The sequence below is a fragment of the Homo sapiens genome, chromosome 18, assembly GCF_000001405.40.
Source record: "Homo sapiens chromosome 18, GRCh38.p14 Primary Assembly".
NCBI lineage: Eukaryota > Metazoa > Chordata > Mammalia > Primates > Hominidae > Homo > Homo sapiens.
The window spans coordinates 34,820,322-34,845,732 of NC_000018.10; the positions used below are offsets into that span (position 1 = coordinate 34,820,322).

The 25,411-nt window shown below is 37.3% G+C and overlaps 1 protein-coding gene across 70 annotated transcripts in view; it reads left to right on the top strand.

The window, feature by feature from the left end:
• DTNA (dystrobrevin alpha) overlaps positions 1-25,411 on the top strand; it is a 398,533-nt gene that overhangs the window by 327,010 nt on the left and 46,112 nt on the right. For 27 of the 70 annotated variants that reach the window (XM_047437323.1, XM_047437332.1, NM_001386763.1 and 24 more), the window contains 2 exons: positions 470-594; positions 7,272-7,355. The exons of 1 other annotated variant lie outside the window; for it this stretch is intronic. In XM_047437323.1, coding sequence (XP_047293279.1) covers positions 470-594; positions 7,272-7,355 — 209 coding nt within the window. Of the gene's footprint in view, positions 1-469; positions 595-4,945; positions 4,955-7,271; positions 7,356-8,719; positions 9,004-9,078; positions 9,169-17,772; positions 17,851-18,423; positions 18,517-25,411 lie in introns of those variants that run through there. 42 more of the 70 variants (XM_047437318.1, NM_001386754.1, NM_001386755.1 and 39 more) reach the window with 9 other exon arrangements.

Below are 25,411 nucleotides of genomic sequence, written 5' to 3' on the forward strand. Positions count from 1 at the left end.
TCAGGTCTGATGCTGTCATGCCTGTGATGTAAACTCTTCATGGTCTGCCTCTGTCCTGGGGATAAAGAGACAGTTCTTAACAAGCCATATAAAGATTTTGATGATCTGCCTCCTGCTTTCCTCCCCAGAAGGGCTCCCTTCACTGTTGCTGCTTCCTCCATTCTCGAATGACCTTCCCAGTCTGCTGAGTTTTTGTCAGAAGGATTCCTGCAGGCCCATTAAGTCCCAGCGCAGGTGCCCCATGCACAATGCCTGCTTCCATTTATTGTAGCATTTGCTGACACTGAGCAGCAGGAGGCAGCTTGTTCGGAAACTCTTTTCCGAGCATTGAGCAAACTTCCAGACTCAGAATCAGCACTGAAAAAGGATTTCTTCCGTAAATGAATATCTATTATGAAAAGCAAATCATTTGATAAAATATTACATAAATATTAGCTGTTGTCACTTCTGCCTTCCTTCTTCTTTCCAGAAATCACCTGCTAAGAAGCTGACTAATGCATTAAGCAAGTCCCTGAGCTGTGCTTCCAGCCGTGAACCTTTGCACCCCATGTTCCCAGATCAGCCTGAGAAGCCACTCAACTTGGCTCACATCGTGTGAGTATCCCTACCCTCCCAGTATAGAGACAATTTTCTTCAAGGGCACATGTCTGGAGCCACACAAAAGCAATTTCCTATCAGTGGTCAGCAACCAAGATTTTTAATTTAGTTTAAAAAAAAAAGTCAGAGTAATGCCATCATAATTTTTTGTTGTTGTTGAGGTGTACAGTACTTCCACCAGGCTGGACAAGTAAAGTATGCAACACTAACATAATTCACCTGGAGGTGGAAAATATTTCAGAAAGCTTAGTTATAAAATACGGATGTTAGTGGTGTCTGCACATTGGAAGTTAACAATGGGATCACTGTGGTAAAAAATGATTTACAGTATATTATTCCTTAATTTCATATGTGCTTTGAGTTCCAAATATAAAAGCTGTTTGTTTTATTTCTCTGCAGACCCAGTTTAAGATGCCAGCAAACCTAGAAATTACTTTTGTTTTTCATCCCAAGCTGTATAACTTTAGAAGAATCATAGCCTGTGCAGGGGAAGGTTGAAGAGGGGGAGTGGCGGGAAAATTTATCAGAATATCCATAGATTCTTTTCTTCAAAGTATGTGTGAGTTTCGTGGCAGAAGGTGTTGGGCCAACAAACAGTCCTTCCAGCCATCCCTGCTACCTCCCAGAAGTTTCATGCCTTTGAACCTCTCTCAGGCCTGGGTGGCCAAGATAACAAGGGGGCTTAGGTAGAAGAAACAATTTTTTCCTTGGTGTTACCTGGGGCTCATAAGAAGAAAGAGTCTCATTACCTGCTTCTATGCACAATTAGATGTCATGTAGTCACAGATGCCTCCTTATGAACTGCCTGTAGTTTTCCACACTTCAGTGGGACCTATCACACCATAGGGCCTGTGTTTGCATGTTGACATCAAGAGGTGGGTGACGGGACCTACCGGTATAGGAATTCAACAATGCAAAGTTCATGCTTCAGGCAGTTCAGCATATGATCCATAAGGGGCACTGTGGTGGGTATGAGACCTTCGTGGAAGCAGCAACTATGTTCTCTGATGGACCTTAGCAAATACCACCAAACGATTTGTGTTGGGTCACGTCTGTGAGCTTTGTATAAATACTTTGGGGCTTTGTTTTGCTTGTTCCCGGGGATGCTCTGAGGCATCTCTGACCTCAGCAGTATACACAGCCTGGAGGCTCCTGTTTCTCAGCTTACAAGCTGGCATGGGCTCAGCCTCCAGAAACTAATGTAAACTAATTCTGTAGAATGTGGCTAGCTTATTTTTGGAAATTATGTTTCTATAAATAAGCCTTAAAATAAGCCAGGGGTAAATAAATCTGGGGAATGTCCCAAAGGGCCAACCACTTGCAGAAATCTACCTCACAGATGCTTATTAAGAACCTTATTAAGATCTAGACTTTCCTTCCCATAACCAATTAGACACAATCACTAAGTTGCTAATGAATGACCACAGCGAAGTGAGAGCAGCCAGTGCTCCCTGAGCTCTGCCGAGAGTAATTTCCTACCAGCCCTGCTGGGAGTTTCACCCCAAGAGAGCAGCCTTCAACAGAGCTGCTGGGTGTCATGAAGATAGAGGGTGTGGGTGTGAATAGCCTGGCTCTAAGAGCTTTGCTGCTTCCCACTCCTCCAAAGAATTAGAACGTGATGCACTGCAACGTAAAAGTCCATTTCACAGTGAGTCCCACTGGAGTATTATCTAGCTCAGGGCCTGTACCCAGTGGGTGCTAGGATTGGGTGGTGTGTGTGTGTGTGTGCACGTGTGTGTCTGCATGAGAGAGAGAAAGAGAGGGAGAAAGAAGTATTTAATTGGCTGAGTAATAATTTTTACATTTTGACTTACGGGGCAATATAATCTGTTTTGTTATTTATTGAATTAACTGAGGGCTATAGCCTCACAATGCGTTCTTAGTTTATGTTCCATGGAGAGATTTTAAAATTCTGTACAAAATGTGTCTTCTGAGAAAAACCTCTATGTATTTTACCAGATCCTCAAGAGTCCTTGAATCAAAATACTGATCTCTACTCACTGATAACATATTTTCCCAGGATGAAAGTTTTAATTTTAAAATGCAAATTGTACAAGATATTTAATTGTTGAAATAACATACAAGACATTCTGGATGTAGAATGTTAAGTCTATATTAGAAAAGAATTTTTTTTCTATTTTTAGCCATAGAAATTTTTTCCATATTTGTTTCTTTTTCAAATGCTATTGTCATGAGTAGATATCCATGTCTTTTTTCTGAGATTTCTAATTTTAAAATGCATTGCTCATTTAACTATTCTAAATTATCATAGGCACATCAAGGCCATTGAAATGAAAAAATAAATGGTATTAAGCCTTAATCATTTACAAAGAAGAATGCTCTCTTAATCTGCTATAATGAACATGTACATGGAATTAATGAATATTCACACTTCTTCCAAATGTATGTAAATAAGATTTTGATAAATTAGACAAAAATATATGACATTCCATACCATGTCATTTTATAATAAGCCCACTACTTTTATACAGTGCTGTACAATGGAAATAAGTGAAATTTAAGAAATAAAACACACCAATACTCCCACCTCCACTTAATGCGCTTAATTTATTACTCCCAAATATGACTTAAATTATAAAGGTCTTATGCAGAAGGAATATTGTCATAGTGCAGAAATGTGTATAGTAAGACACTTTATCATTGAGTCTCTAGCAAAAATCATCCTAAAAGTATGTTCCTTAGAACTATACATAGCAATAAACATGTTTTCTAGCTATAGCTCTGTCTTGGTCATCCTCATTCCCTCTCTGATCTTTCCCCTTGCTTTACTAAATAATTTATTAAGCAATCTTTAATTGTAGTACAAACCACATCTTTGTCATTCTTTGGATGTAGTGTCACAAAAATATCCCAGTCCACATCAGTTACACCCATAGATAAGCTTACAGACAGAGGTAAGAAGGGAGCAGTGAGTGGGGTGCAAGCATTGGCAATATTGATGGGCATCCTCTGTCCTGTACTGATGACCTGAGGTTCTGGACATTGGGAATTATAGCACAGACTCAAAATAAAACATTTTTTTGCCACTGTGAAAAAGTGTGTTGATTTTGTAAATTAATACAAATTCTTCAAAGACATATTCAGAAAAAAATTCCATGATGTACATGTTTAAGTGAAGGATAACTGTATGTCCTTACATAGTGCTGAAATATGTAGAACATTATAGAGCTCATGGATATAAAATTTGATGTTGAACATTATACAGTCTTCTTAAATGCACATCTTGCTGTTTAATGATTGTGTTAAAAATTGCTGGCCAGGCACAGTGGCTCACGCCTGTAATCCCAGCACTTGGGGAGGCTGAGGCGGGCGGATCACGAGGTCAGGAGATCGAGACCATCCTGGTTAACACGATGAAACCCCGTCTGTACTAAAAATACAAAAAAAATAGCCGGGCGTGGTGGTGGGCGCCTGTAGTCCCAGCTACTCGGGATGCTGAGGCAGGAGAATGGCGTGAACCAGGGAGGCGGAGGTTGCAGTGAGCCGAGATCGCGCCACCGCACTCCAGCCTAGGCGACAGAGCAAGACGCCATCTCAAAAAAAAAAAAAAATTTTTTTTACTACATGGCACATGTATACCTACGTAACAAACCTGCAGGTTCTGCACATGTACCCCAGAACTTAAAGTAAAATAAAAAAAATGCTGTTAGTCCTCTAATATATATTGCATCCAAAGGTGAGCAGCAAAAGCATTATAAGATACAAATAAAATTAAGAAAATAATAAGTGGAAAATGCTTTATCAATACATTAGAAAATATTTTTATTACTCATTTAAAACTCAAGTTCCAACTTTTTCTTTTTTCTTCTTTTTTTATTTTTTGTAGAAATAGGGCCTCTCTATATTACCCAGGCTGGTCTGGAACTCCTAGGCTGAGATTACAAGTGTGAGCCACCATACCTGGCCACAACTTAAATGTGAAAAAATGGCAAAAATATGGCACAGTCTGACTATGTAACAAGTTAACATTTTACAGGTAGCCTTAGATACAGTAAAAAAAAAAAAAAAAAAAAATTAAATCAATAGGATTTTTAAACAGGTTGCGGTACTAATACACACACATATACACACACATACATACATTTGTATATGGAAATGAAGCATGTGACACACAGAAAATGCCATTTTTTTTTTAACTATAGCCAAGGGACTTTTTTTTTCTACCCACCTTGTAGAGAGGTGCTGCCAGTCATGAATTAGTCCTTAAATAGAAATGAGCAGGTGGTGACATTTTGGTATTTTGACATTTGTTCTTAGCTATTGTATTGCTTGTAAATATTACCATGATTAACGGTCTCTATTCTGTTCAATTCTTCGCTGCCAAAAGTGATACTTGGTAAGTAGTGCAGTCATTTCCAGTCTACTTACAAAGATGTATAATCATGATCATAAGTGGGGATGAGACACAAAACAAGTGAGCAATATGAGGCTAGTTTAGAACTAAGTCTTCTTATGCTGTACACTCAGTTCACAAGGATGCCACTTATATAAAAATGTCCTCTGTGAAGATCTTGTCCAGAAGGCCATTGTGACTTACTCTCTTTTGTGGAGCTGTTTCTTTTACATAAAACCAAATATGTTCAAAATTCCCAGTGTGAGCCATTTGTTAGATAAGGTAACTTGCCATTTGATTGTGGAAGAAATAGGAATTTCAGTCCCTCTGAAAACCATCATTTGGTGCCAGAGCTAGCCATTCTTTGTCCAAAGTTCAACATTTCAGTGGTAGACCTTAAACAAAGCCATTTGCTGAGAAACCTTGATTTCAGCTTTGTAGTGACCAGATTCAATAGAATACATTTATCAAGCTAGTTAAAAAGCATTCTAAATCCACTTGTTTTCTCATTTTTAGACAGAGCAAGAAGGAAAAATTTTTAAAAAAAGACAAAATCAGAAGTGTGGGGTCAAGTATTTTTTTCAACTCTTTGCAAAGCTACAATGAAGATATTATACTCTGTTCACTGTTTTAAAATCTAACAGACCAAACTTTTCATAATTCACAGAGGACATTTGTATAAAATTAGCATCCTTCTTCCAAAGTGCTAGTGTTCAACTCAAGGCAGAATTAGTTTTAAACTAGCCTTGCGTTGCTCCCTTATATATCAAAGATATGTCTTAGATAAGTAATGCAAAACACTAAGATTGTTTTCAGAACTTCAGTTTTGTCTAGAGTAGATAAGTAGCTGTTGTTTTGGCTTCATCCAACAGATGACATGTCTTACAAAATCTCAGAGTATAGTTTAGCACCAGCTACCTTGAAAAAAGTTTTGATGAATTTGTTATTTTTTATTTTTTTATTTTTATTTTTCCATAAGTTATTGGGGTACAGGTGGCATTTGGTTCATGAGTAAGTTCTTTAGTGGTGATTTGTGAGATTTTGGTGCACCCATCACTCGAGCAGTATACACTGTACCATATTTGTGATCTTTTATCCCTAACCCCAGAGACTTATTCTAAGTCTCAATGAATTTTTGCATGTAGTATTGACATTTTAAAGCCTGCAGAGCTTCAGGTCCATTCCATTCAATACATTGGGATATGCAAGTCTACCTTTTTCCCAGAATGTCTTCATTGTAGAATCCAAAGCTGTTCTCTAAGGTAAAAATTAAACCATTTACAAATTTGGATCTTAATTATGCCAATATAAATTGATTCTTTAGGCTGCTATAATTAATGTCTCATCTTCAAAACGTTCTATACTGTCAAACTCAAATATAGAATTATAGTGAAACTGAAATTTCCTCTGATTCAGAAAATGCTCCACCTCATTTTCCATCTTTTGAACTCTAAGTCCCATCTCATATTACCATTCATTATCCTATATTGAACCTAAAAAAGGGTAAAAATGGCTTGGAGATGAGATAGGGATCTTAGCCCTATCATTTTACCTGAACTAAAACATTCATGATGGGGAAAGAATGACAGAATGAAATGAAAATCAGATGAAGGAAGACAGACTCCATGCAGTTGGTGTGTAGAACCATGAACAATTCTGAGGAAAATTGAATTCTGTTTTCCTTCTCTTATCATAAGAAAACAAGTGAAGCTTATGGGATGCTGTACACCACATACTCTATCATATGGATCACCCAAACAACAGAAACTAACTTCATATATCCTTGTGGAGCTTACTTGCATCTTCACTTAGAACAAAGGCAAATAAGGTATGATATGATTTTACAGCCTGTGTCCTTTCAGACCAGGCATGTTGGAGAGGCCCATCATCATGGAGAACACAGAAGGAACCTTTCAAAGCCTCAGGAATCTTCCTCTTTCCAAGAGAATATAGATTCAATGATCAGGTCTTCAAGGCTTCTTGAGAAGGCAGTAGAAGTAAAGCCACTACCTTCTTCAAAATCCTTGCTTCATTCCAGAATATTATACAATGAAACATCAAGGCTCAAAGCTCATGCATCAGTATTCACATGGTGTCTGGAGATCTTCCTCCCAGTGTTTACCTGAGATTATATATTCTCAAGGAAATGTAACTTTAAAACACTTAAGGAATTTAATTGGAAAATATAAGATTTCTTGTTGATCCTGGGAAAGGTAGAACCCAGATCTTCCCATCCCGTTTCCTGGAGGGATGAGGGAGAGTTTTAAATTTGTGACTTTTATTTGTTTTAACTTTCCATTCACCCTGTGTTTTGTTTTAGGCCTCCCAGACCTGTAACCAGCATGAACGACACCCTGTTCTCCCACTCTGTTCCCTCCTCAGGAAGTCCTTTTATTACCAGGAGGTAAGTTCCAACCCTATTATAAAATAAGCCCTTTCTTTGGTAATGAGCCTTGATTCTGTGGTAAGAAAAATATTCTCATGCAAGCCAAGGGCAGAATATTGTTACTAGAAACTAACTTGCAAATATCCATTATAAGTTTTCAATTTCATTCATTTGTATGCATTTAAAGAGGGGTAGGGTGGCTTTGGGGATTAATGTCATGTCTGGAAACCTGCATTTATAATTTACCCACAGTAAGAATGTGAGGGTATGTTTCAGTTTTACTACTGACACACATGCATCCCATCTCATTAAGGAAGTCACGTTCATAGTCCTCAGAGTTGAAGTCAAAGAACTGGAATTTCAGGATGCAATGGTGTGTTACTATATAAATGGTGAAATGTGTCATTATTTAAAGCTAAGATACAAAAGAATCCTTTGTTGGTGAACCCTGGAGTTCCTGAGGCTAGAGGATAAAGACCAAACTTGGAAATGTAGTTTCCATATAAGTAATTTCACGATAATAATAAGAACTTTTTTAAAAGGTGGATCTGCATCTCATTTCTTTGCACAAGATCCATTGCCATGTGAGCAAGAAACAGGAGAAGCAAATATTTCTCTAAGAGTTAGCATCAGACATATGCAGGGTCAAGAGGTGCTCTGAGTCATTTGATCAAATATTGCAAATCAAGCACCAGATAATTATTTTATAAATACATGGAGAAGGCTCACGGGAAAGCAAAAACAAAGGTAAGGAAAATTGGAGTGAGTAATTGAACATAAGATTTCAAATGCCTTTCAGCAGAAAAAAAGTACAGCCTCATATTTCACAAAATGCACATAATTCATCTTTTCCCTGAAGAGGTTTATAAGGTGCCAGTTTCACTGTAATATCCTGGTACATTCAACTGAGGATTTGAAGACAATGAGACTAAGAACACAGCTGATTTTTTTTCCTCTGAGTTCCTGTATGTGCCCATCAACAGGAACCTGAGATGAAGATGTTCCCCATAATTGTAATTAGCAGAATAAACAGAATATGGCAGAAAATGGGGTTTCTGATGTATAAACGAGGTCTGTAACAAGTGGAAATAAGGAAACAGTTATACAGCAGAACATCCACAGTAAAATAATATGGTTTAGGCCCTCAGTAACTTCCTTTTAGCACTCTTTTTTAGAATCACCAGCAAATGCAACCATTTTTTTTTTCTGGAATGAAATCATAAACTGTAAAATCTGTAAAAGACACAGGTCTGTGCATCTATCTAGGGAAGACCTGATGTGATGTTTAGAAATATGTACTTTTATTAGGAAGCTCTGCATTCTGCAAATATCAAGCAGAGGTAGACCCCATCCTTACTGAAGGTCATTTTATATCATTTCAGCTCGGACGGTGCTTTTGGTGGATGCGTCTAGATGGATAACATGACTTCTTCTACCCTAAAATATTCCTATAATACTTTGAGCTGTTCTGGTTCCTCCAGGGTGCATGGTACCCATTAACCCAAAATATGATTATTTCCCTTTTTTCCCATTTTCAGTCATTTTGGAATGTTCTCTGTGAACCACAGTTGTGTTGTTTAAAGCTCACATTTCTTTCTGTCACCACAGAGATTGGCCTACGGTTTCTGTTTTGAGGGTGCTGTTCAATAAAGCTGTGTACACTAAATGTCTTTCCTCTCTGAGTGGGCCTTGCTCTGTCCATGGGAAGTTTTAATGAGGTCTCATTGTTTGACTCCCTCAGGTTACCTGAGGGAATAAGTGCATCCAGCCCTGTGGCTGAAGAGCATTCCCTCATAAAGCTGTACGTAAATCAGCTTGATCACGGTGCACGGTCAGTATCCCAGCCCTGAATTGCTAATCGTAGTAGTAGTTCCATAGCTAGACTGATAAGTCATTCTACTCTGGCACTAAAATCCTCTCATAGTACGTCTTATTGGAGATAGAGGTCTTCTGGGGTTTAATGAAATTGTGTTGAGACTTTTCAACTTGAGCTGGACTTTGCAGCTCTTTCCTCTCCTTTCCACATATTTTATGGATTTCATAGCCTCATACCGGTATATAAGAGATGTATATATGTGAAATGTATCAAGCTGGATCTTGTTTGGACAAGTCTCTGCTTTTGTACAATTTGCAAAAAACCCAGATGGTAATTTCTAAGACTCTTGAATTAAGGAGTCTGTTGGAAAGATCTTTAGCATTAACTAGGTGAGGCTAGGACAATGTCATGTAGCTGGACCTCTTTGCAGTTAAAGACTTGAGGACTTGTACCTTTCTGTCCTATTGGACCTGGTCCATTTTCCCCCCAGGGAGGGAAGTCTGATTCCTAATGAAGTAACAATTTCAAAAACAGTTTCTTGCTCTCTGTGCTTATTCTCTATCACTTGATAATGCTGGTGGTGAATCACTTTTGTTTTCTTAATCGTGTCGATAAACTAAGATGGATAGAAATCTATCATGCCAGATGTAGGCAAAAGTTAAAGGTTCTATACTTCTATCATTGAAACAGAACCAAAGAAATATGACCTATGGCTCTGCCCTCACCCCTAGCCCATCCCAACAATGAAATAAAACCTAAGCAAGCCAAGTATAGTGCCAGTCAGTATAGGGCAGCACCGAGAAAGTAGAGAAGTTCTCCATATTTTATTTAGCCTAAGTTTAGTCTTTTGTATCATGACAGATCCTAGAAAGATAAAGCTGAATGAGGCTGAATTGAAATCCCCACTCCAGAATCCTCACCACAAACTCCTGGCATTATTCACCTAGGGCCCTTCACAAGCATACCACTTTGATCTTCAAAAGACACAGGGATATAACTTTGAAGTCTTTTGACATCCTAGTAATCTACTTCACACAGATTTATGAGTGTGTACCTCTGGTTACCAGCATCATCTGTCGCATTCCCTGTTCTTACATCTTTTCTAGCTCTGTACTTGATTCACTTTTCCCTTACTTAAAAGAAAAAAAAAGCGATTCTCAAAGGCACTCTCCCTTGGTCCTTCGAAGTCTTCTTACATGTGTGTATGTCTATGTGTGTGTGCACGTGTGCACATGTGTACATTCAGTGTTGGTCAGAAGTTAGGTAGAATGTGGGTCATATAACATAATTGATGGACCGATTCACTTCATTCATTTTCTTGATTGTAAACTGTATCCCTAATCTATTTTGTTTTCTTATAAATTTATGGGAAAGAATGGCTGATTTGATGGAAATCTATTATCACCACTGGGGAAAGAGCTCTAAGAGCTATGTATGGTGAGCCAGCAACATTATCTAAGCTTATGAAAGTTAGTGTATTATTATTATTATTGCAGATATTATTGCAAGGACTGACCACAAAGCCAGGTCCCAAAGGCTCTTTCTCCCCTTCACTGCCCACAGCTCTGTGCCTCTTAGGATCTGCTATCTTCTTTGGCATCATGCCTCCTTTTTAAAATCTTAATTATCTTGCCATAATCATTACTTAGTTTACATGAGAAAGTTAACCAATACTTTTTAATGTCAAGTAAGCTTCTTTCACTATGGTCAAGCTTCTTCATTAGTCAGAGTAAAGACTAATGAAAAAATTAGTCACACTTCTTTTACCTCCAATTTTAGAAACATCATTTAAAGGTTTCACAGGTATTTTCATAGTTGCAACCTCTAAAGTGGTAAGCACTCACAAAAGGAATCACCTTGACTATTCTATATAACATCTAGCCAGGTCTTATCACTCCACCAAATATTAGGAAATTGCTTACAATTCATATAGCATGTTGAACACAATCTAATGTGCTAGTTTCTGGTTTGCTGCAATAACAAGTAGTTAATTAATCATATTGTATTAGATGGCCGGGCAAGGTGGCTCACGCCTGTAATCCCAGCAATTTGGGAGGCTGAGGTGAGCAGATCACCTGAGGTCAGGAGTTTGAGACCAGCCTGGCCAATGTGGTGAAACTCCATCTCTACTAAAAATACAAAAGTTGGCCAGGCACAGTGGCGGGTGCCTGTAATCCCAGCTACTCAGGAGGCTGAGGCAGGAGAATAACTTGAACCTAGGAGGCAGAGGTTGTGGTGAGCCGAGATCGTGCCATTGCACTCCAGCCGGGACAACAAGGGTGAAAATCCATCTCAAAAAAATAAAAAATGATACTGTATTAGGCTCTGTAGTTCCTATAGGGAGAGTGCACCCACCCCAGATACTTCCCAAATCCTGATCCCTCCAAGAGGAGCAGAAATTGTGAGTTATTTTTTGGGTTGACTTGTTGGTCAGGTGATTGATAGGTTTGGGTTTTCAACCAAAGAAATGCTAATTCACTGTGCCTTTTTCATTTTTAAAAAATATTTTTGCTTACCCAAAGATTCTTTACTTAACAACCGTGGCTTTTAATCTGACTCAAAAAGTTCAAGCTAAATTTTAAATAGTTGTGATTTGATCATCAAAAGTAGCTAAAAATAAATTTTGGATACTGATTGTAGCCTCTCCTTTTGAAAATCAAAGTTTTCTTCATAGCTAATTTTTTCTAAGATTAATGCCCATCCATTTTCAGTCATAAAATAGATAAATTTGTAAATCAACATCTGGCACCACCCTGAAGATTTCTCATTCTTTTCAAACTTTCTGGGCATGTTGTATGAAATTTTATGAAGTTGAAATAATCACTCTCTGCAGATAATTCTTTACTTCATGTAGTCCCAGAGCTCTACTAATATGTTAGATCTTTCCAAACTGGAATTACACCAGTCTACACATCAACCCTAATAATTTTCTATACTATGCATCATTAAAACCACAGTCACCTCTCTTGTTCAGTTCAGTAACCTTTACTCTCCTACTAGAGTTGCTTTGGCTGTTGTCTCTGCATGCCCTATACCAAGCAAACTTTCCTAGAGGCTCTCCTGACAAAAGTGCAATTGCTGTGACTTGATGATACCTGGGTACAATGTAGTAAATTAAATATGACCTAAGAATTCTTATTTTTTCCATGGTACCTGTTTGAGATGGTTGAACTTCTATGCCAGCCTGAATTGATGACAGCTAATTTTCCCACTGAGACACTAACCTATTTTTTAATACTGGTCTATGAATTTTCAGGTAATACATATTTTATATTTCAGATGTAAGCTATTGAAATCTAGAAAAAAAGAAACAATGTTTCAAGACATTACTTCTTGACAAAACAGATTTCTGGATTTTTTTATTATATTTAAGTTAGTGTGATGGCCTCATTACTAGACTATAATTCTAGTGAGAAGGAAAATTTTATACACTATAGATAGTTACTTAAGGAGGCAGCCAACTTTATAAGTCATTCTTCACAAATCCAAATGTCATACAAGCTTATTAATAATTTAAGAATCAATAGAAATGAAAATATCTGTTCTTAATTTGCTATATTTCAAATATTGTTTTTCTTTTAACCATTGCGATAATTATTCTATATTAATATAATTTGTTTCTATAATATTTGTTCTCTGTGAGACTGCAGCCAGGCCTTTAATATCATGTTCAATAAAAGAAAAAATAATCTTTGTCAAGGGCTAATATAGTAACTCAACATTAGCAGAAGTGGTTTTTAAAAATATATTTCAGGTATCCAGGAAGCATCTGTGTGTGATTTTGTTACCTTTGGACCCACCCCCTAAATATTTTCACTGAAGTAAAATTATTGGCATCAGTCGTCACCCTTCAAAGCTAAGGGGATAATTTTTTTAATAAGTATGAAACATTTTGAGATTGTTCTACTTTTCCAGAACCCATTGTGTCACTGTGTGTGTGTGTGTGTGTGTGTGTGTGTGTGAGAAAAATTTTGGAAGGTTATTTATCTCTAGATATGCTGCTTTCCAAAGGTCTAAAAAGGAAGTGGTGAGAAGCCAGAGGATTTTTGTTAGAAAAACAAAGTCTGAAGGAATATTTCCTGCCTTTTTTCTTTCAGCAGATATATGAACTTCAAAATTTACCATGCCATGCCCTCAAAGGTATGGCTGTTCCCACAACCATCAGTGATAATATGTATGTGAAAGGATGTGCTCATACAGTGGCAAGGGATTAGTGAAAAGAAAAAGATGGCGATAAGAAAAAGAGATTTGTGTGCACATGATTTTAGAAATGATAGTCTTGCTTCTCTTTGAAACTCAGATTAGAAAAGGTGTATCCCATGGTCAAGTTGAATGCCAAATAGTTCTCAGTTTCGGAGCTTAAAAGGAAGAATGCATTCTGATTTGAAGACAAGGCATGTAGAACAGAAGCAGCTTTAATGAAGCTCAGTCTGGGTTGTATGAAAGCCATTGTCACATTCTGACACAATGATATGCTGGAAGCACTCTTTCCTTAGTCAGGAAGTAGGTTCCATTGTACCTGATCCCAAATCCCACAAAGAATTAGAAACTTAATTTCTCCATGCAAACTTCCAAGCTACAAAATCAAAGTTTAGAATCTAAATTAGTCCATAAAATATTGTGATAATATAGCACCTTGAAGGGATCATAATAAGCCACACATCATTACTGTTTTAGTCCCTTTATGTTGCTGTAAAGGAATGCCAGAGGCTGGGTAACTGATAAAGAAAAGAGGTTGAGGCTGGGCACGGTGGCTCACGCTTGTAATTCCAGCACTTTGGGAGGCGACGGCAGGTAGATCGCCTGAGGTCAGGAGTTTGAGACCAGCCTGGCCAACATGGTGAAACCCTGTCTCTATTAAAAATACAAAAAAAAAAAATTAGCTGGGTGTGGTGGTGGGTGCCTGTAATCCCAGCTACTCAGGAGGCTGAGACAGAAGAATCGCTTGAACCCAGGAGGCGGAGGTTGCAGTGAGCCAAGATCGCACCATTGCACTCCAGCCTGGGCAACAAGAGTGAAACTCCGTCTCAAAAAAAAAAAAGAGGTTTATTTGGCTCATGGTTCTGCAGGCTGTACGTGAAGCATGGCATCAGCATCTGCTTCTGGTGAGACTTCAGGCTGCTTCCACTTATGACAGAAGGCAAAGGGAAGCTGGTTTGTGCCAAGATCACATGAGGAGAGAGGAAGCAAGCCACAGACAAGAGGTGCCAGGCTACTTTTAACAACCAGCCCTCAAGGGAACTAATAGAGTGAGACCTCACTCATTGCTGTGAGAATGGCACCAAGCCATTCATGAGGGATCTACCCCCATAACCCAAACACCTCCCATTAGGACCTATTTCCAACATTGAGGATCAAATTTCAACATGAAGTTTGGAGGGGTCAAATATTCAAACCATAGCAATCACTATTTTCACAGCAACTCAAGAGAAAAAATTTCACTTTGCTGCCTCTCTTCAAGCTTGGAAGCTGGAGAAGAGGTTCTGGTGGAAAGTACTTCAAGTGAAAAGACTTTAAAGACACAAGTTTTAAGTGAAACCTGTCTCCCAGTCAACTCTCGAGGTTCTTGATTCATTTCATTTTGAAAGAGTGGCTATTTTTGTCTTGTTTTCATCATGCATTTGGCCTCCTCTGTACATAGTCATATTTTTGGCTTCCTGGAAACAGATGATGAGAAGAAGAATTTGAGGCTAGCTCTAGAAATTACAGAAACTATGTGAACAGTGAGTATCAAAAAGTTAGAAGTGCTTCTGGCACTAGAAATTAAGAGCTATAGCAAAACAAAATAGTTTATTTCCAGAAACTCATGTATGTTCACGGTGTAACTCCCATATTTTCCAAGAATTATTTTTTCTAAGAATTCACATGGGAAAGGAACGGAAGATAAAAGGTTTTAAACTATTTCTTTAAACCAACACTGGCAAGGGCCAACACAAAGAAAATGACAACAAAAGTTAAGAGATGTATATATATAGAATATGTCTCATTCCTTTGAGGGAAGAAGGGACCTGGTTAGAAGAAGGAAGAAAAGGAAGAGGAGAGGAGAGGAGAGACAGGCAAGTGGAGTAGAGGAAGGAGGAGAGGAGCCCAAAGATTTGAAGAAAAAAAAAAGGAGAAGGCCACCAAAGGAAAGTCCGGCCTATCGCCCCCTTCTCTCAGCCCTACCTGTACACAGTACTGAGGCTAGGGCTCCTCCATGCTTGGGCTTTGTCAGTGATGGGTGGTGGAGCCACATTTCTGGGCCTTCACTGACACATCTTCCTCCCATAGAAGTTCACCAGAATAATTTGTGGCAAACACATCTTTGTGGTTGACGTTCCTGTGTTTCTTTTCTCTACTGATTCTTGCTTGTTATCTTGCATGTTCAGCATGAGAGGTTGTCCCTGTGCAATTATTCGGCTGTTTGCTTAAGAAATTATTGCCACAATTTCTGAGATTCAAAGAACAAAGAAGCATAAGAAGGCAGGGAGATACTTTAGTTTGGAGGGAAGAATCATGGATGTTTCACACAGTGTTTTGAATGGTTTTGCAAGCATCTGAAATAAATTATGTAATAGATTCATCTATCTTTAGTTACAAAAAAGAATTGGGGGGATATTGGGCAGCAGGGGTACTGTAGGTACTGCATAATGAATGTATGGAGATCTGCTTCAGTAGACAAAGTCTGGAATGCAGTTTTGGTGGGGTAACTGTACATCACAGAAAACAGAAACAGTTTTGGTGGTATAATGGTACATCAGAAAATGATGGCTGAAGGTGGTTATTTGGCCCTGATGGGCAGGTTTCACAGTTTTAAAAGGAAAACATCAATATGCTGGAAAAAGAAAGTTATTGAGGTCATCAGGAAAGTAAATTATCCTAAAACACAATCTAATTTATTTTTAAAGTCAATTTTGGGCCGAGCACGGTGGCTCACACCTGTAATTCCAGCACTTTGGGAGGCCGAGGGGGGCAGATCACTTGAGGTCGGGAGTTCGAGACCAGCCAACATGGTGAAACCCCATCTCTACTAAAAATTCAAAAATTAGCCAGGTGTGGTGGCGCATGCCTGTAATCCCAACTACTCGGGAGGCTGAGGCAGGAGAATCACTTGAACCTTGAAGGCAGAGGTTGCAGTGAGCCAAGATCTCACCACTGCACTCCAGCCTGTGCAACAGAGCGAGACTCTGTCTCAAAAAAAAAAAAAAAAAAAAAGGTCAATTTTGTTGGGTACAGTTGAACTTTTTAAGTACAGCAATACTTTATATAACAGATGCCTTTCTGAAGAGCTGAGTGAAAATGTCATTCATCTGACAAACATGCATGTCTACTCTTTGCTAGTCATTTTCTTTACAAATCAAATTTAATATTAAATTTATCAGATACCTCACTATTCAAGGAATCTTTTAATATACACTATTATAAAGCAAGAATTCCAACTATAATGTGCATAGTTCTAATGTGTTATGTATAAATTTATATTTTTTAGTACTTCATGGCCTGAAAGAATGGTGCTTTATAGTAGAGCCCTAAAACTTGTAGTACAAAGTTTTTAAGATTTTAACTAATTTATAAACCATTATATATATATTTAGTAGATTTAGAGTTTCTTGAAAATTTTTGGTGGAACCTCATAATTTAGATCCCAATAGTTAAATATTTGGTATTCAAACAAAGACAGACAATTTATTTTTCTATTTTCCATGAAGAAGGAGAGGGACAATTTTAGATTCACCAGTGTGCAGGACAAATTCTTACTTAACCTATAGAGGAGCAAACTTTCTTCAAACACATTACCAATACAATTGTAATACTAAGAATCAATACCATAGTTCTCGATGTAGCATGACTACAAATTGTCACAGTAGATTTTGGATGACTTTACCATAGCCACACTTAATGAATTATTATTTATATTTCTATTTGTACTTTAATAAAACTATATTTTAAACTTTAAAATTGTCATTTAAATTACTAAAGAAAATGAGTAGTTCCCATAATGAATCCATAATGTTAAGAATTTGCTTTAGCAATGAGACTATATTCACTAGCTTTGTATTAATATAAACATAAGAAATAACAATATATATGTATAAGACTCAAAGGTGTATTTCTCTGTTCCTCTGAAAATTTTCTTTGTAGCTCCACAGCCAAGATCATGTGGCTTTTGCTTGGAGTAGTAAAACACTTCTAATATGAAGCAATCTCTAGCTAGGTAATTTTCAAGTCTTTCTATCCAGAACAGAAAGTTGGAGGATGTAGGGAAGGCTAAGTTCTTGAGTGGGATCTAAAGGCTGGCAGGACTTAGTGAACTATTGGACTGTTTACATGATATGCCATGATAAATGTTGAATGAATTTTCATTATGTCTAGACATACTCAATATAAATGCTTGCTTGTTAAGCAAATAGCAGAGGTCAAATCTGGGATCATGGTGATTGCGATTGTGGTTCTCAGGCTGGGTTTCTATTCCTACTTGAAGTCTGTGGAAATCTGAAAACATCTTGAACATTTCAAAATAATAAGAGATCTGTCTAAATGAAACTTGGATCTAGACTTGGGAGTGTCTGTTGCCAGTTTCTATTCTTGAATGCATTGCCGTGTTTACGCTCTTCTTGGCTTTCCCATCTTATTAACTAGCTCTCCTCCCAAGGACAGTGAAGTAGAGCAGAACAAACTGCTGGCTAGGGCTGCTCCAGCTTTTCTGAAGGGCAAAGGGTAAGTTACAGCCAGAGTGTACTGGAACCCTGCATTAACTAAACTAAAAATGGAGATTTCTTTTGTCAAAAATGCTTTGTGTGTGAAAGACTGTCTTTGATTCAGTAAAAGCAGCTCTGCTTTAACCCAGTTAACAGCACTAAGTAGTTATTTCCAGTAGACACATCTGTGTTGTTATTCACTTTCCCGAATTTGTGTCCTTTTCTTTTTTGAAATGACTAAGCTGAAGACTCGATTTTCTGAAGGATATTTAATCTTTGCTTGCAACCAATTTCAATGTATTTACTCTACAGATGAATACCTTGGCCTTAGTGGTTGAAAAATGTAAATCTGTTTTCTAAAACTTTATTTAACCTAAATGGAAGTCTTTATTTTTAAAGTTAGTGAAATCGAATTGTGGATTTCATTGCCTGGATTTCACTTGTGTTTTTCATAGCACATCACTTACTACCCTTCCTTTACCTGCTTGGTTTTCTAAATGCCTTTTCTACCAAAAACTCACTCCTACCTCCTCTACTTATTTCTGTCCACCTCTCTTAACAACACGCTTTCTTTCCCCCTGCCCTGTTTCAGGATACAGTACAGCCTGAATGTGGCAGACAGGCTAGCTGATGAACATGTTCTCATCGGGTTGTATGTCAACATGCTCCGGAACAACCCCTCATGGTTAGTGCAGGTTTGGCTGCTTGACTGTCCTTAGAGAGGGATACAGTCTGAGCTGGTGACAAGCAGTCTCAGCAAGGAGCAAGGTCACTGGATGCCAGTGGTGACACTGAAGCACTGTTAACTGGTTCAGTTAAGAAGTCTCTCGTGATGTTAGTTTGGATACTTCCCATGAAGGAACCATAGGATTCATATCCTTGTTTATATATTAGCTAAAACGAAAACTTGCATAAAGGGATGCCTTGCTAAATATTAGCCTTCAGGTAGATTCAGGACTCCGGGTCCCACCAATCAGTTCTGTGCTACGTGTCATGTCAAATTACCACAGGATGGTGATAAAAGAATTTGTCTTATTCCAAGGACATGGATGTCTCTGCTGATTTGGAAAACAATGCTTCATTTTACTTAAGAGTGAAAAAGAGAAAATGCGATGTGATTGAATCACAAAATGGAAATCATTTCTTTAACAATGATAACAGTGGGAACAATCGTCTTTCAGCAATTCTATTACACATTTTTCTGATGACCATCCTGCTAAAGCCTGCTTTCACATCTTGGAATACACAAAACTTAGTTTCAGATATGTTAAATTCAGGAATTAAGATAGCCCTGTGTACTTGGATAAAGCCATTCAAAAGGCTTTTCTCCATTTTCATTGTGACATAGGAGACTCCTTCCATTGGTTAAAGTTACTTGATATTAATAATAAATGTGGATTTGCAGCTTGAATTAAAGGAAAAGGACAAACTATGTATCATATGTATTTTTCAATCTAGTTCAGACTATTGTTTTATAAACATATTTAGCAAACCAATTCCTTGAAAATATGTCAATTTTTCTCAACCACTTCAATTTTCTCTCAATTAAGGGCCCATGGATTTTCCATAGTTACAATTATTAAGAAAGCCAATGGGTTCAATTTCCATTAAAATGTTTCAAACCTTTAGCATGGCAAGTCCTCTTTCCTCTACTATTAGAGGAAAAGTAATTGGCAAAATTAATGGCAATTACATTAAAAGTGATGACAAAAACTGCAATTACTTTTGCACCAACCTAGTATTTCACCAAGGCATTCCTCAGATGCTAGGCCATTGCTCCATGCTCCTTGCCCTCACCACTTGATGTTATTAGCCGCTTTGTTTCTGAACCTCTTTCCTCCTCACTTGAGTATTTTCAAAATTTTCTTCCTATTACTGCTTCTTAGATCTATTTTTGCAAGATTAATACATGAGATAATTTTTAGTTCTCATGAACTGATGAACATTTATGTGCTTTAGTACATACATGTATCTTAATTTGTATTTTTAAAAATGTATAACCAGTACACTAGTTTAATTTTACCTTAGATCCTACTGTTTAAGGGGATAAAAATGCACTCTTTGGCTGACGTAAATCCATCTCTTTCTTCAAATTTTGTGAGCTTCTAGATTAAATAGTATCCACTTTTTCACAACTCAGGCTCTCAAAACTACAAAATTGCTTTATTCCCAAGGAGTTTGGTACTCCAGTGTTACATGGTAGCTGAAGCAGTAGAACTAAGCATTGAATTTTTTTTTAATTGTATTGGTCATCTTTGAAGAAGAATACAGTCAGTGTAGATTCAATTGTAAGACTATGATGCGATCTCACATCATGTCCTCTTCCCATAATTCTAAGCACACTCCAGTTATTTCTACTGCTCTTCTTTGACCTTTTCTTAATTAAGGTTGTTAACAAAGAAATCTCCAAAGAGAAAAGCTCAGAGTTTGTCACTACCAGCCATTTTCCCTACTCAAGTGATTAATCATATTGACTTGATGGTTACTTAAGACCATAAATCTGTCTCAGCAGAGACACCTTGCGTCTGCCTGATGAAAGCTAAATGTGATTTGTATTTTGAAAACAAAGCAGAATTTAAGGCCAACCAATCAATGAAGGAGGCTTTGTTTTAATAGCTGCACCCTCCATATTTCTCATAGTTTTTTCTATCCTTAAAAAATTCCAACTTCTTTTTCAAATTTCTCATTTTTTCTTCCCTTTTCTTTATGTTTAATTAGATCCCAACAATTCCTCATACCTGTCATGGTTCTATAAGTAATGTAATGACCTCTTACCTCCTTTAACATCATTGTAGCTACAATGCTTTACCATCATTAAGTTACAGTGAGACATATAATAATAGTAATAATAATAGTAAGTGTTTTTAAAACACTTACCTCATGCCAAGCTCTATGTTCAGAGCCTTGTATACATAATTTCTCCTAGTCCTTAAAGTAAGCCCATGGAGTAAATAAGATCATCCCCCTTTTATAGACAAGTAAAGGTATCATTTTAGAGAGCTTACCTGACTCTCCCTTAGTCCCACAGCTATAAAAAGTGGGGCAGAGATTTTAACCATTATCCATCCAAGTTCATAACCACTGTGTTTCATCACCTCTTTTAAAATCTGCATCAACACACGCCTTTCAGGATCTTTTGTGGATGCCTCCTTCACACTGCATCCTCCACGTATTTACTGAAACTGTATATCTTATTCTAGTGTTTTTATTTGATTTTAGCAAATATTTTGAGCACATACTAGTAACAGGAATGGTGATTCTTAACAAGTTACCTTTTATGTATGTAGTTCCTTGAGTTGTGACTTCTCATGTTAATTGTAAGCTTCAAAAAGGGCAAGAGTTTTGTCTTCAGTCTCTTTTATCTTATTACAACAGCTGGAGTAAGAATAATAAATTTTGTATTTATGAAATGCTCCAAAAATTACAAAGCCTTTTTCCACACATTATTTAATTTACTTCTCATAGTCCTAGAAGGTTGGATATGATTATTTCCATTTCACTGTTTAAAAAATATGAGCTTTGAGACATTAAGTGACTTATCCAAAGTCACATGCTAGTAAGGGCTTGCAAACAGGTCTTATGACACTGGTTCCCATCTATTTTCCACCCCATTCCTTGGCCTCTAGCTGTTCTCCATCAAAAGCTTTGTTTTTGCCATTATTCAGACCTAATCCTGATTAACTCTGTGTGGGGGTCTTCTACCCTATATTAACTACTTAACACACTGGGAAACTGACTTATTTGTAATAGTTTGCTGCTAAAGAAACACTTATGTCATTGCTGGTTCTGTCAGATAAGTCAAATAAATAAACTGCAGCTCAAGGGAGAATTTCTGCTTCCTTCCTAATTCAATGAAGTTTTAAAAGCCTTAATAATTTGTATGCACCTTCCTCATTGCAGGAGAAGGAGTCTGAAATGTGATACAGTGTGGGCTTTTACTACCCTCCCCCAAAGCTTGTCAAATTCCTGGGCTTGCTAGTTTATACCAAGGTCTGTAGTAGACCAACCAAATGATTTGAAACCAGCCCAGAACTTCTACCTCTAACATTGTCACTTGATTAGACTCCTGATGTCATATGACTAGGTTAAAATTGTTCTGCTTATATTTTTCTCAAGTACAAGAAAGTGTACATTTGTGTTGTCAATAGATTTCTTGTTAAGTGGATTAATAATCCATCTAGTTTAAAATTGCTCCACAATATTTTATGCTTTGGGAAAAAAGACATCTAAGAATGCCTATTTCAGAATTTCATTTATGAGGTCTAAATTTTTATTAGCTTGCATGCTTAGAACTCTTTAATAGATTCCTATTGGACCTAGTTTACAACCCAGACCCCTCACCATGGTGTACAAACCTGCATGTGACTTAGCCCTTGCCTACTCCTTTCTCAGCCTCAGATCTCATGGGGTTCTCCCATTCAATCACTACATTTAGTCATGTCAATTTTTGATCAATTCCTCCAACGAACCAAGCTCTTTCCTGCCTCAAGACTCCAATACTAGTTCTCCCCTCTGTCTAGAACATTCTTTCCCATTTCACCCCTACTATATGCACATGAACTTGCTTGTCTAGCTTCCAATCTTAGATTAAAGACACCTCCCCCAGTAGGTCCTCTATATTAGTCTCTATTATAGCATACTATTTTTATTTTCTTCTTATCAGCTGCAGTCATTGTTTGGTTGGTTAGTTGGTTAGCTGTTTGGCTGGTTAGCTCATTGGTTGGTTGGTTGGCTGACTGGTTAGTTGGTTGGTTGGTGGCTGGTTGGTTGGCTTACTATTTACTGTATCTTCAGTGGGGCAGGGACCCTCTCCAACTTGTTCACCACCTTATCTCTGACATCTAGCACAGTGCCAGGCACATAGTAGGTGCTCAATAAACATCTGTTGATATTGTAGAATATCAGTAGTGCAGTAGCTAAAAAAATTCCATCTTCCCCTAAACAAAGTTGTTAGGAGTAGTCAGAAACTTTACTAGCAAAATTAGAATTTTTACTATTTAAAAAAATCACTATTATAGAGTAGCACTTAAATTGAACATTTAGTATAGGAGTATAAAATAGATGAAAAATTAAAGTATTAAGCTTTGTGTAGTGGTAGACATGGGCAAAGATAAGCACCAGCAATTCACTGATGTGAACAGAGCAACTAATAGGGCATTCTAAAATTTTTTTAAAAACTTAAAGTGATAATTGGGCAAGAATTTTTTTTTAATTTTAATGCCCCCCTAGATTCTTCATCTTTGTATTAGTTTGCTAAGAATGCCAAAGCAAAATGCCATAGACTTGATGGCTTGAACAACAGAAATTTATTTTCTCACTGTTCTGGAGGCTGGAAGTCCAAGACTAAGGTGCCAGCAGGGTTGGTTTCTCCTGTCCTTGACTTGCAGATGGACACCTTCCTGCTGTGTCCGCAAATAACCTTTTTTCTCTACCCTAGTGTCTCTTCCTTTCCTTAAAAGAACAGCAGTCCTATGAGATTAGGGCCCCACACTATGACCTCATTTAACTGTAATTAAAGGCCCTATCTCCAAATATAGTCACATTCTAAGGTACTGAGGGTATTCATATGCTTTAGCATATGAATACTGGGGGAGACACAATTGAATCCATAACCCACTTCCCCACTGAATCCACTGAATTGTATGCCTTTAATATTTTTAATGTGTAGGTCAAGATTTGACTGACTCTTTTTAGTACATTTTGTTGATTTTGAAAAATGTGAGTTTATTGCAATCTGTTGAAAGAAAAAAGAAATTATAATCTGTTGAAAGAAAAAAGAAGAGTTACCTACACTTACTGACAGTGTCTCTTTTATATGAGTTTTCATTTCCTGTTAACACGACTCCTTTTGTTTAGTAAAATTTTTAGGAACTTCAATTATAGAACTGGACTTCTGAGAAAGATATTTCCTTAGAATCCTGGAAATATAAATCTAAAGACTGTCACATCAGGAACAGTTGGAGTAGAAGGAAATGGAGGAGTCTGAGAGTTTTTAGAAGATAGAATGCATGACCTCAACTGTAACATAGGGGGTTGTTGAAGTCAGGGTCTCAATAAAGGAGTTTAAAGGTCTCCTTTAAGGAAGCCATTATTGTGGTAAATTCTTATTGTTATCCATGAAGATTGCCATTTCATGATTTCCTGTCTTTTTTTGTTGTTATTCCAAACCACTCACAAAGGGCCACTACACTAAGCTTTGAGAGTTAGTTTCTTTCCCCATTCTTCAGTACTGTAAAACCATTTCTCGGTCCCCAGTGTCACTTTGTTCCTTTCTACCCTGACTCTCTTGAGCTCACTGACTTCTAAATGCCAAAAAAAAGTGCTCTATTCCCTTAGCATTTTGCTCTAAACCAACTGCCAAAGATAGAGAATAATCTAATAAAGCAATCTTCCATTTGAGTTAACTAATCCTCTTAATAGAAGAGTAGTACATGAAACTCGATGGCCTTCTAAATTAATTTCTAGTGATAAAATTCCCATCACTAGCCAGAGTAGTAGAAAAAATATGAAAAGAAAATATAGAAGCATTTATATATGCTTTTGCTTTTGCATTTATATATGCTATATGCTTTGGATCACAGTATTTTCTGGTTGACTACCCTAACTTAGAAAGCAGAACAGGCCCAGAAAAAAATCAAAAGAATGTGAACAAACCGTGAGTTCCCAAAAATCTTTGCTAAATCACACTTTCATAAGCCCTAGCTCAGCTGGGGCCACTTGAGTTTCCTGGAATGCCATTTTGAAATCACTGGCAACAGACACTGGCCATGCATTTCGGGTAGAATGTGGAGGGCTTTCAAAATAATGGATTTTCCTGCTCTGAAATGCCGTCAACACTGCAATCACTTGTTAATTCATCATAGTCTTGTAGCAAGATTACTGATTATAAAGTCCTGAAATGAATAGCTAGGGCTGGAGAAAGTGTTGGAATTGGTATTTATTTTAATGATTTAGGGATTGTTGATCATTCATTTTCAACTATTTGTAATTGAAGTCTTGAAATAGAGGAATTTATCAGAAGAATGCCTCCTTCACCCTTGTATAATTTGAACATACTGAAATGGCATTATGTGGACCCATAAATTGTTCATGTGCACAAAGGGGTAATATTATCACACAGGCCCTCATTCACTCAGTGCTGGGGGAGGAAAGGCATGGACGTATGAGTTATCACTTGCTATACAGAATCCTATATCTTCACGTCTTACATTTCCAGGAGGCTTTTTAAAAATATAACCTTCATATTACTTACACTAGCTAGTCATTCATTTTAAAAGATACTTTTATCAGAAGTTTTTATCAAGATTTTTAAAATTATTTATTTATTTATCAAAATACAAATGTTTCTGACAAAGTCACTTTCAAGGTGTCAAAGATATCATGTTCCTGGGCCTGGAGCAATGGGGTTATCCGCAAAACACTGTGTTGAATTAGATGTATAGCCCCTAATACATGAGCCAGAAATGATAAACATGTTAAAATCAAATTCAGTTGTCTCTTTGTGGGGTAGTTTGACGTCGAAAGAAAAGACAGTGTAACTTTCTCTTTTTCATTGAAGCTGTAATAAAGAATTTAGTTAT